This window comes from Homo sapiens, chromosome 22 (assembly GCF_000001405.40).
Source record: "Homo sapiens chromosome 22, GRCh38.p14 Primary Assembly".
Classification (NCBI taxonomy): Eukaryota; Metazoa; Chordata; class Mammalia; order Primates; family Hominidae; genus Homo; species Homo sapiens.
In genome coordinates, this window is record NC_000022.11 from 26,678,056 (window position 1) to 26,690,331 (window position 12,276).

The following is a 12,276-nucleotide window of genomic DNA, read 5'->3' on the forward strand; positions in this document are numbered from 1 at the left end:
GTGCAGCAGTGTTCAAGGCGTGGTAAGAAGAGTTGGGAATCTCCCACGGCTGGCAGAACTTGTGAGCCCCCCTGCCCTCAAAGGACTACAAGACCCCTAATGAGAAGAGAGCTTCCTCCCAGTCCTCCTTTCTCTTCCTCCTCTCCCTCCCTCTATTCACCCAGCAGCTGTTTACTGAGTCCTTCTTTTATAGTGGGCACTGCCCTAGCCTCTGGGATGCCAGGTTGCTGGCCTTTCTGTTACCAGTGCACCTATTTGCTCTCGCCTGGGTACCTACTTTTGCACTGGCTTTTCCCGTCACTTAGAATGTATGTCCCTCTGGTTTTCACGTGGCTGACTTCTTGTTGGCGCTCAGCTGAACATCACTTGTTCAGAGAAGCCTCCCCTGACCACCCTGTCCACAGTACTCTATCACTGCAGTTCTCAAACATTTTGGCTTCAGGCTCTTTACACTCTTGCCATATGACGCACAGTGCTAGCTGATTGCCTGCCTATCTTTGGGAACTTGGGTGCATTTTCAGCCTTTTTCTCAGAAAAGTGTTCTGGGCAGCCAGGCCCAGTTGCAGGTGTTTTTTCAAAGGCATTGTGGATGCTGGCCACTCACAAGGCTCAACTGGCCCCTGTTTCATTCATTCAGCAAAATGTTGTTGAGTCCTACTGTGTGTCAAATACAATGCTGGGTGCCCAGGGCACAGCAGACAGGCATCACCCCTGCAGAGTGCAAAGCCCAGGAGAGGCAGTGAATGGAAACTAGATTTGGATGGGGGACAGGGACAGAAGGAAACCATTGTAGAGACTCTGCCATGTTGTAAATTAAAACAGAGACGTTTTAAAAAGACTTGTTTATTCATGGAAAAATCACAATAACAATAATAAACCCATCGCATATTAACAAAAATAACACATGCTTTATTATGAATAACCGTATTTTCCAAAGCAAAATAAATTTAGTGAGAAGACAGCATTATTTTACTTTCTTAGGGTAAATCTCTTTAATGTCTGGCCTAATAGAAGACAGATTGTGTTGCATTCTGATATCTGCCTCTGCATTTAGTCTGTTGCATGTCAGTGTCGTGTAGCTCCTGGGAGTCCAGTCCGCTTTGTAGGTGCTCTGTGGCCCAGCCAGAGCTGTAGTTCACAGGAGCGACCAGGAGATGGTGGTGTTGCACCAAACCCTCACTGCTTATTATTGGAAACTCAGTTCCTCTCAGGGGCATTTGGGGCTGGATGCTCTACGGGATACTCTGGAAATCACAGAGTTTTAGGGCATTGAGTAGGACTTGGCATGGGTGGGACAAGGATAGGGACTGGAGAGAATGCAGCTGAGGACAGAAACTCTGGAAAACCACTCTTCATTTTTGCGGAGGGCTCCTTTTCTTTTCTCTCTCTCTCTCCCTCCCTCCTTCCCTCCCTCCCTCCTTCCCTTCCTCCCTCCTTCCCTCCCTTCCTCCCTTCCTTCCTTCCTTCTTTTCTTTTTTTTCCTTTTTTTTTTTATGGAGTCTCACTCTATCGCCAGGCTGGAGTGCAGTGACGCGATCTCGGCTTACTGCAACCTCTGCCTCCCAGGTTCAAGCGATTCTCTTGCCTCAGCCTCCCTAGTAGCAGGGGTTACAGGCGCCTGCCACTGCACCTGGCTAATTTCTGTATTTTTAGTAGAGTCGGGGTTTCACCATCTTGGTCAGGCTGGTCTTGAACTCCTGACCTTGTGATCCACCCGCCTCGGCCTCCCAAAGTGCTGGGAGTGAGCCACCTTGCCCAGCCGAGGGCTCCTTTTCCTAACAGAGGCCAAGCCAAGTGACTTCCCCTCTCTAAGCCTCAGCTTACTCCTCCACCAAATGGGCAAAGTACGCCTTTGGCTTCCATTCCATCCTGCCACTCTCAGCAGGGTTCACTATTTTGATAACACTGGTGTTTTCAGCAATGCAGGATCCCCCAACCATCGACCTCTGAGGCCTAGACTATTCCAAGAACTCGCTGATGCTGTGAGCTCTTCCTGCAGGCAAAACTGTTCCTTCTCTCTCCACCTCCAAACACACCTTCATTCACCTGGATTGAGTTAAAGTGGCCGGTACTGTTTTCCGAGTGTTTGCTCCATGCAGGCTCTGTGCTGAATGGTTTGGACACATTGATGTATGAAGTGCTCAGAAATAGTTTACGAGTTTCATTACCACCCCCATTTTATAGGAGGAGGCACTGAAGCTTAGAGAGGTGAAGAAACTCACCCAAAGACACATGGTTGGAGGATGGAGAAACCTGGATTCAAGGTGGTCACCACACCCATGGGGCCGCATCACCCCAAAATGCTGACTCCGTCTTGTGGGATCGAACCCAGTTACTCTTTCTATGCTGGTTTCTCTCCTGTCACTCCTTCTCCCTGCAGGGTGTTCATTGCCCTCGGGGATCTGAGCACAGTTTGTGATTTCATATTTATTGGCTCATTGACTGCTCCCCTGACTGTGAGCACCACAAGGGCAGGGGCAATGCAGCCTGCTTCACAGCTGTACCCTGGGTACCCAGTACTGCACTTGGCACAGAGTTGGGAGTCAACAACATTTTACTGAATGAATGAAACAAGAGTCAGTTGGGCTTTTCTAGTGGGTGGTGTCCAGGCAAATTAGGGAGTAGCCAGATCCACCCCTTACTGGTTATGTGACTTAGGGCTGATGACTTCCCCTGTTTGAGCCTCAGTTTCTCCATCTGTAAAATGGGAATAACTGTGTTCCTTTCTTTTTCTTTTTCTTTTCTTTTTTTTTTTTTGAGACGGAGTTTCACTCTGTTGTCCAGGCTGGAGTGCAATGGTGCGATCTCAGCTCACCGCAACCTGCACCTCCTGGGTTCAAGTGATTCTCCTGCCTCAGCCTCCCGAGTAGCTGGGATTACAGGTGTGTGCCACCATGCCCGTCTAATTTTGTATTTTTAGTAGAGATGGGGTTTCTCCATGTTGGTGAGGCTGGTTTCGAAATACCAATCTGAGGTGATCCGCCCACCTTGGCCTCCCAAAGTGCTGGGATTACAGGCATGAGCCATCGCGCCCGGCCCAACTGTGTCCCTTTCAATGAAGCTACCCGGATTTGGCAAGAGAGCATATGCAACGTGTCTGCATGTGATGGGCTCTCAATTCCTGTTTCATGTGTTGATGGTTTCTCTTGGCCTTGGGCAGGTATGGCAGGCCAACAGGGTTGGGGGAAGACAGAGTGGCCTGAGGATTAGACCGGGGAGCAACAGGACCAAGTCATGGAGCAAGCTGGCCGGCAGCTCTGGCCTCTTTATCCTCTGAGCCTGCCTGTGGTGAGCACTCAAGAAGCCACAGTCATGGCGGCCCAGTCCCTACAGTCATCTCTTGCCTGGCCCATGGCCTATAAACAGATCCTCCCCTGCAAAGCACCCACAACAGCGGCGTAGCCATGTAGCCAGGGGGACAGAGACCGCTGTGGGGAGCTGGTGCTGTTCAGCCTGAAACACTAGCGATTTCCTAATCTTCACTCAAGAGGCCTCTCCTGTGTGAAGGAGGCTTCCTCCCAGAGGAAAGCTCTGGAATGTAAGGAATGTGCCAGAGCCTCCAGCCCAGGCCCCAGGAAAGAGAACATCTTGGAGGCACAGGGCTGAGGGGGCATTTTCCCAGCCATCTCAGGGACGCCAGGCCACCGGGGAGCTCATACCAGACATCACCTTCTGGCAGTGGGGTCAGGCCTCAACCGCCTTTACGCTTTCCCAGGTTCTCAGGCTGGAATGACGGAGGCCCCGTGGACTCTCACGGTCTTTGATTTCAGCCTCTCGCCCAGCACCTGCACCCCTGGATCTGGGGCCAGACCCTGTACTGGGCACTGAAGTACAGAGAAAAATGAAGCTGGCTCTTGTCTGAGCCAACTGGAGGTGGGACAGGTCCAGTGTCAAGTCTGGATTCCCATACTGTGTCACCTTGGACAAGTCACGTCAGCTCTCTGAGCCTCTGTATCCCCATTTATAAAATGGGGGTAACACTAGGATCTTCTTTCTAGGATGGTCACAAGGGTGAAAGGCCCCCATGTTCCTGGTGCCATAAACAGAAATTATTATTGTTACAAAAATGGCTGTAACAATATCTCCCATCCCACGTGCGCCTCTTATAATGTGACTTTGACCCTTCTCCCCTTGACTCTGGGTGGTTTGTGACTTTGGTGGAAGTGATGCCATGTGACTTCCAAAGCTAGTTCATAAAACGCGGGAGGGCAATACTCACTCTTGGAACCCAGCCACCATGGTGTGAGGAAGCCCAAGCAGCTTCAAGAGGCTCACGTGGAGAGGAACCAAGGCTCTCACCCACAGCCTTGGCTGAGCTCCTGGCAATCCTATGGATGAACCATTTTGAAGGTGGGTCATCCAGCTCTAATTGAGTCACTGCAGTGGATACTGCATGGAGCAGAGACAAACTGTCCACACCAAGCCATGCTCCAATTGCAGGTTACTGAGCAAAATGATGGTAGTTTTAAGCCTCTAGGTCTTGGAGAGGTTCATTATGCAGCAATAAACAAGGATACAGTTCCTTTTAAGAAACAACTTTGTTTCTGTCTCAGCTGATCTCAGGATCTTTTTTCCCCAAATCCTAGTCCCTTCCAGCATTTTCCATCTCAGGAAAGAGCCCCAGTCTCTCCGGTTGCTTGAAAAAGAAACCTGACAGTCATTTTTCTTTCCTTCCTCAATCTCTGTCACAGCCATTGTCGAAGTCCTGTCATCTTACCGCCTAAATCTCTCTCTTTTTTCTTTTCTTTTTTTTTTAAGAAGGAGTCTTGCTCTTTCGCCCAGGCCTGACTGCAGTGGCGCTATCTCTATCTCGGCTCGCTGCAAGCTCTGCCTCCCGGGTTCATGCCATTCTCCTGCCTCAGCCTCCCGAGTAGCTGGGACTACAGGTACCCGGCACCACGCCCAGCTAATTTTTTGTATTTTTAGAAGAGACGGGGTTTCACCGTGTTAGCCAGGATGGTCTCGATCTCCTGACCTCATGATCCGCCTGCCTCAGCCTCCCAAAGTGCTGGGATTACAGGCGTGAGCCACCGCGCCTGGCCTTCTTTTTTTTTTCTTTTGAGACAGAGTTTCACTCTGTCGCCCAGGCTGGAGTGCAGTGGCACCATCTCGGCTCACTGCAATCTCCGCCCCCTGGGTTCAACCGATTCTCCTGCCTCCCGCCACTACGCCTGGCTAATTTTTGTGTTTTTAGTAGAGACAGGGTTTCACCATGTTGGCTGGGCTTGTCTCGAACTCCTGACCTCAAGTGATATGCCCGCCTCTGCCTCCCAAAGTGCTGGGATTATAGGCATGAGCCACCACATTCGGCCCTAAATATCTCTTCTCACTTTATTCTATCCCCCTGACATTGCCCCAGTCCAAACCACCAGCCTTCTGTTTTGGACAGCTGTGGCAGCTTTCTCACCAGCCTCACAGTTTCATAAGGAAAACGGGAATCTTGATATATGAATGATGTACGGAATAAGAAAAATCATCAGTGTTCAGTTTCCTTCACCTCCAGTGCTGTGTCTCTGAGCCCTTCATTTGTTTTTGCCTGGACTGTTCCCTTTTTTCCCCACATGAGCCCAGGATAAGACCCCTCCGGTCACTACATCTTGTCTATGCATAACACCCTCCTTGACTAAGCCTGAGCGAGTTCACTCACTGCTTTGGTCTCTGGGCAAGCAGGTCCTGTTTATTTTTTTTTCCCCATCTAGACTTTAGATTTGGATTCAGTAGTAGATCAGATATGCATTGACACTGTCCATGTGCCAGGCTCTGTGCTAGGCACCTAGAATAGAGTGGTGAGAAGAAACTAAATGTCTGTCCTCATGGAATTCTCAGTCCAGTGGGGGAGACAGGCATTCAGTATAGAAACAAGAAAGTTAAATCCTTTCTACCACTGTTTATTGCTATGAAAAGAAGTACGGCAGGACAGTGGGACAGGATGGCCCGGGTGGAGTGGAGGATGGGCAAGATCAGGCGGTGGTCAGAGAGGGCCTCTCAGAGGAGGTGGCATTTGAGCTGTTAAGATGGAGTCAGCCATGCGACATTAGGAGAAAGTGTCAGCAGGGGGAACAGCAGGGGCAAAGGTACTGAGGTGGGGATAAAGCTTGCCATGCTGAAGGGACAGAGGTAAGGCCAGAGCATAAGAGGCTGGTGGGATGTAATGTTGAAGGGGCAAGCCAGGGTTGGATAACTCAGGGCCTGCTGAGCCACAATAAGGAATCTGATTTGACTCTAAGTATATTTGGAAGCCATTGGAGGGTTTTGTACTGCAGAGTGACACCTCTGATTTATGCTGTAAACACTGGCTTCCAGCTGCTGGGTGCAGAATGGATTGGAGGGGGACGGGGAAGCAGGAAGCCTGGGGCGGAGGCTGTGGAGGAGTCCAGGTGAGAAACTGCATTTATCAAAGACACCATCCACACTGGTGTTGTGGGGCTGAGACTCCTCTGTCTCCACTGTGGACCAGCTACCCTGTGCCTGTGACTTCCAGACACTTCTGTCTGTTATTCTTTAAAAGGCAGTTCCCTCCTTAATTCTGAGGTGAGGATCTGCCTTCACAGACTCACTTCAGCATCCTGAAAGTCTGCCAGAAGCCCAGTCTGACTGCCTGAGTGAGGCCTTCCCAGCACTGTGTTAAAAGCTGGGATTGAACCATTTGTTCAGGCCCTCCAATCCTAGCTGTGCCCTACCTCCCCAGCAACTTCATCCTCTTCAGAAGGGCTGTCCCCACAAATAAGGCGGCAGCAACACCGTAGTGTGTTGACATTGGACTTGTGTTCTTATCTAGATGTACCAGGGCTGTATGACCTATGGCAAGTCATTTTACCCTGTTTTCCCATCTCTGCCACCTTCACCGCCTCTCCATATTGGTTCAACAAATGATGTCTCACACCTGTAATCTCAGCAATTTGGGAGGTTGAGGTGGGAGGTTCGCTTGAGGACAGGAGTTCAAGACCAGCCTGGGCAAAACAGTGAGACCCTGTCTCTACGAAATAAAAAAATAAAAGTAAAAAAATTAGCTAGGCATAGTGAGGCACACCTGTGGTCCCAGCTACTCGGGAGGCTGAGGCAGGAAGATCGCTTGAGCCCAGGAGTTCGAGGCTGCAGTGAGCTATGATCATGCCACTGATTCCAGCCTGGGTGAGTGAGTGAGACCCTGTCTCTTAAAAAAAAACAAACAAACCAGTAAAGGGTTTGTGCATGGTGAGGGGCCACTTGGAATTGAGAAAGCAACCAGGTTGTTAGTACTTTGAAAGAGAGAGGCAGACACCCCTTCTCTCCCTGGTGGGGCAGATAACACTGCTGTGCACACCATTAGTGCCCATTAAAAGTATCCTTTTATGAGGGCAAACTGTTCTTCAAGTTCACCTTGGATATTCCTGCTCGGTGTGAACCTCACCTGCTTTATGAAGGCTTCCAGGTTCAGCTGACCTCACGTTCCTTATGTCTGGCTGGACTCTGGATAAACTTTAATCCAAACACCCAAGACACTGATTTGTAATTTTCTTTGTGTAGATCTTTCTTCCTGATCAGGCCAATGTGTCTCGAAATGAGGCCCTCCAACCACATCATAGTTTTCAAGGTGGAATGGGTTAAAAATACAGACCCCTCTGAATCAGAATCTCAGTGTGTCGGCCCAGGAATCTGCGTCTCTGTTTTTTTTTTTTTTTTTTTTTTTGAGACAGGATCTCACTCTGTCATCCAGACTGGAGTGCAGTGGCACAATCATAGCTCATTGTAACCTTGAACTCCTGGGCACAAGGGATCTTCCTGCCTCAGCCTCTGAATAGCAGGGACTATAAGCACGGGCCAGCATTTCTGGCTATTTTTATTTTTTGTAGAGATGGGATCTTGCTAGGTTGCCCAGGCTGGTTTTAAGCTCCTGTTCTCAAGCCATCCTCCTGCCTTGGCCTCCCGAAGTGCTGGGATTACAGGCGTGACCCACGATGTCTGGCTGAATCTGTCTTTCATCTGGCAAATGATTCTTGGGCTCGCAGATGTTTTAGAACCAGTGCATTACAGAGTGAGTTCCTAAGCAGAGGGACTGCATCGGATACAGCACCACGTACCACGGTCCCCTGTGCAAATCTTACGCTCAATAAATGCATGTTGCTTGAATGAATGAGGTTTTAGGCAGGGATGTGGGGAGAGTCATTTTATTCTTCCTAGAATCCCCCACACTCGCTGATGGTCCCCATGTTCGACAAGAGGTCTCACCAAATTTTTCTGCCACTGGGAAACTTCTCCAGTAAGAATTCCCCTATGCCCCACTGTATAATCTTCTCATTAATACACAGTATTGTAAAGGTGATCTATAATTAGATGCTAACCGCGTTTGCCGTAAAATTGGGTGGGCGAGGTCAACAAGGTAAGCTGGGAGCCGGCTGATTGTTATGATCAATCAATAACCTATTTATTTCCCAACATTTCTATTAACCTCTGCCAGCCAATCACAGTTTCAATTTGAAAGGCTGGGGTCTGCTTTGCTGACTGGAGAAGTCTGATTGAAAGCGGGCCTCTGACATGACCCCAAGGGCGAAATCCAATTAAAATCATTTTCACTGGTAGATTAATATTTTTAGCATGTTCTACATCCTGGGATTCATCATTCCTGGCAATAACTAATGTCTTGTGACACGAGCAGGTGGATTGGCACTGCCATCAATAATAATTGTGATTAATTAGCTCATCAGGTGCTAGGATGGCTTTGGGGAGGCAGTTGGTGCAGCTTCTGGGAACTTCTCCCGTCAAACCCTGGTTATGTGGATGTCTCTGGGTCATACCAATGTAACGGCCTTTTCTGAGTAGGAATGGTGTTTATCTGTCTCTGGGTCTGAAACTCCCTTGGAACTATGAGTTCCTTGAGGGCAGGTATTATTTCTCATTGCTTTCAGCAAGTCACTTATTGTTTGGCACACCCAGCTGCCCTTTTCTGAAGACTGTCCTTTACTTTCTCCATCCGCACAGCTACAGTAGAAGCCACCATATTTGTGTAACATGGCCCCATTCCTGGCTGCTGCTTATTGAACTGGGGTAGAGCCCATCTTAAGCCAATGGCTCCATTCTTGGATGCTCTTGATTGGACCAGGGGTAGGTCCCGACCCAAGCTGGGACAATGAAAGCATCAAGGCACCACTTGTGGACACTGTTGATTGGACAAGGGGTAGAGCCAATCTTAAGCCAAACCAATGAAAACCTTATGGCACCACCTCTGGATGTGGTTGATTGGATTAGGAGAAGGGCCCAACCCAAACTGGGCCAATGAAAGCCTCACGACCCCACCTGTGGACACTGTTGATTGGACAAGGGGTAGAGCCCATCTTAAGCCAAGCCAATGAAAGCCTCTTGGCTCTACCCCAGATGTTGTTGATTGGACTAGGAGTAGAGCCCAATCCAAGCTGGGCCAATGTAGATCTTCCTTAGTATGGAATTAGGTTTAAGGGAAGGGGTCCTACTGGCCAACTTGAGTATTTAGGGGAGTTGATGGCCATTGTTTGTACTGTAAACAGGGAACTAGTTATGAATGAAAGTGGTGCTGAGAGAGGAGAAAGGATGAGGGATACAGAAAGTAGTACATCTTAGATTTCCTGGTACATCTCAGTTCCTGTTTCCAGGCCACTCCTGAAACCTGACTGCATTCCAGCTCCTTGGTTCTCTGAGTTATCTCTGCATCTTTGTAATAATTATTCTTCCCCCTACCTCCCTTGCTTGGGCTAATTTGAATGAGTCTGTTACTTTCAACCAAAAGTATCCCAGTGAATTTAGAGCCCAAGAGATGTCCAATGTCACACTGCAGGCCAATGAAAAACTATCCTCTTTCTGCTGACTCTCAGATGCAAAGCCTTTTGGGGGAAGAAAGAAACAAGGAAGAAAAAATAACTCACATTTATTGAAGGCCTACTGTGTGTTAGGTGCTTTGCAATGTCATGTATTTAATGTTTACCAGGCTGGGAGGTAGATTTTATTTTATTAGTTTACAGATGAGGAAACCGAGGCTCAGATATGTTGGATAACTTGTCCAGAGAAGAATTGGGGGTTGTATTTAATTATTTTGGCAAATTCCATGATTGCTGAGCACCCCATGTTGTCTCTTAAAAAGAGGTGTGGCCGGGCGTGGTGGCTCACGCCTGTAATCCCAGCACTTTGGAAGGCCGAGGTGAGCGGATCACAAGGTCAGGAGATCCAGACCATCCTGGCTAACATGGTGAATACCCGTCTCTACAAAAAATTAGCCGGGTGTGGTGGTGGGCGCCTGTAATCCCAGCTACACAGGAGGCTGAGGCAGGAGAATGGCGCGAAGGCAGGAAAATGGCGTGAACCCGGGAGGCGGAGCTTGCAGTGAGCCGAGATCGCGCCACTGCACTCCAGCCTGGGCGACAGAGCGAGACTCCGTCTCAAGAAAAAAAAAAAAAGAGGTGTGCTGCTTTGCTGTAGATATCAGCATGAGGCTGTTGAAAGATAATGAGGTAGCCAGTGGGGACCCTGGGAAGAAGTCAATCTTCAGATTGGTGATCAGCCTCTTGAAGTCCTGTAGAGAACAGACAGAACCAAGAGTTGAGTCTTGACCAAGTCTCCCCCACCTTCAAAAACCATCTCCTTCTAGAACCCACTCACTGCTTTCTGATTGCTTCAGGACTCCCAGGACCCACCCAGACAGCCCCAGCTCCAGCTTCTGGAGACATCTCATTAGTGGGTTCTCTGTAGCCATTCCATCCTTAGGAAAACCCAGGGCAAAACCATATCTTCCAAAAGAGGCTCTGCAATGGAGAAATCCCAGTGGACCAAGGTGCATGATCTGCTTTGAAGCGTTCAGGGATATTTGTCTTCTCCCATTGGGCTAGTGGTGGCGAAAGGTGCACCAGGCTCCCCTTAATGTACACATCTGGATTGAACTGAGATTCCCACAGCAGATTTTCCAATGAGGAGTGGATTGCAACAGGGAAATAAATATAATTATTTATATGCATGCTGGAGAGTTTCAACAGGTACCAACAGATATATTCAGGAGTCAGGAAACCTTGGGAAATTCCTATAGTCCCAAATTCGAATCTCTAGGTCAAGTTAGCTGACCATAAAAAATCAGCCTGGGAGGTGTTTTAACACTGCAGTTTCCTGAGCCTGACTTCTGGGGATTCTGATTCCTGTGGCATATTCGTTCTTTTGAGAAGCTTCAGAGAGAATCCTGACAACCAGCCAGATTAGAGATACACAAGGCACATTATCACATTAAAGGCACTAAAAAGTCCTGCAACAAAGACACCCATGACATTTCATTGAACCAGTTTATCAAAGTTAAACAAACACAGGTCCCTCTTTCTCTATGTTTTGGTATAATACCTGTTTTTACAAGGTCTACTGCTCAGAGAGCTTACCAACTTTCCCGCTTAATAATTATACACTAATATCATGAATCCAGTGATTTTTTTCATGCCCTTCCTATTTTATAGCATTGGGTTATTCTCTCCCTGAAGACAGGAATAGGATCTGTGTTATTTGTAACATCCTCCACATAGAGTCTGAGGAAATGAGTGAGTCTCTTAAAATCGTCTTTGAATAGGGGACGTGGTCCTCTGCCCACCAATAGGAACATTGATAACAGGGTAGGAGAAAGATTTAAAGCAGCTGGTCATAGTAGGAAAGCCTGCAGAGCCACATTTGGTTGACAGTTGTGGATGTTGAGTGCCAGCAGTCCAGCTGCTTCTCTTCTGAGCTGTTTCTCCACTGCTCTGAGATCTGCCTCTTAACAAACTTGGTCCCCAGGTATGAGCCCTCCTGAGACATTTGGTTAAGAAGAGGAGTTTCCCATTTCTCTCCTTCTCCTCCTTTCGGCCACCAGTGGATTGAAGGGAGCAGTGCTGAGGCCATTTAAATGGGCTTCTCTGCAGAACGAACAAGCCCTTGTGTTGGAAATTGGGTTAAATTCAGCATGCATAACCACTCACAATGGCTCTTTACACCCCAGGAGCAGTAAGATCCCACTAATCTTCAGTCAAAACAATTAGAGCATGAAGGGTGGTGTATTCATCCCAAAGGCACTGGGCAACTGGGAGTTAGGAAGGGGTGGGACCACCCACATTCGGGGCTTTGACTTTCCAGCCGCAATGACAAGGCCAAAAGACCCGGGGGATTCGGAAAGCGGGTCTGGTCAGAGAAGTTGCTTCAGTCCATCTGTCTCTTTCTCCACGTGGTGGACTCTTAGCAAGTGCGAGGCACTTTACATGCACCGTGTCATTGCATCCTCACATTAGCTTTGTTACCATCATCTCCTATTACAGCTGAGGAAAC

The 12,276-nt window shown here is 48.5% G+C and overlaps 1 long non-coding RNA gene across 1 annotated transcript in view, besides 3 other annotated features; it reads left to right on the plus strand.

Annotated features, from left to right (window-relative positions):
* MIATNB (MIAT neighbor) overlaps window positions 1–12,276 on the plus strand; it is a 108,051-nt gene that overhangs the window by 5,213 nt on the left and 90,562 nt on the right. The gene's annotated exons all lie outside the window — the stretch shown is intronic.
* Window positions 2,689–3,513: an enhancer, noted in NCBI's record as "H3K27ac-H3K4me1 hESC enhancer chr22:27076707-27077531 (GRCh37/hg19 assembly coordinates)". NCBI's record gives its function as "activates a minimal SCP1, AML or CMV promoter by ChIP-STARR-seq in naive H9 embryonic stem cells {active_cell/tissue: H9 hESC(naive)}" and the evidence as "EXISTENCE:reporter gene assay evidence [ECO:0000049][PMID:30033119]".
* Window positions 3,514–4,337: an enhancer, noted in NCBI's record as "H3K27ac-H3K4me1 hESC enhancer chr22:27077532-27078355 (GRCh37/hg19 assembly coordinates)". NCBI's record gives its function as "activates a minimal SCP1, AML or CMV promoter by ChIP-STARR-seq in naive H9 embryonic stem cells {active_cell/tissue: H9 hESC(naive)}" and the evidence as "EXISTENCE:reporter gene assay evidence [ECO:0000049][PMID:30033119]".
* Window positions 11,616–12,237: an enhancer, noted in NCBI's record as "OCT4-NANOG hESC enhancer chr22:27085634-27086255 (GRCh37/hg19 assembly coordinates)". NCBI's record gives its function as "activates a minimal SCP1, AML or CMV promoter by ChIP-STARR-seq in naive and primed H9 embryonic stem cells {active_cell/tissue: H9 hESC(naive and primed)}" and the evidence as "EXISTENCE:reporter gene assay evidence [ECO:0000049][PMID:30033119]".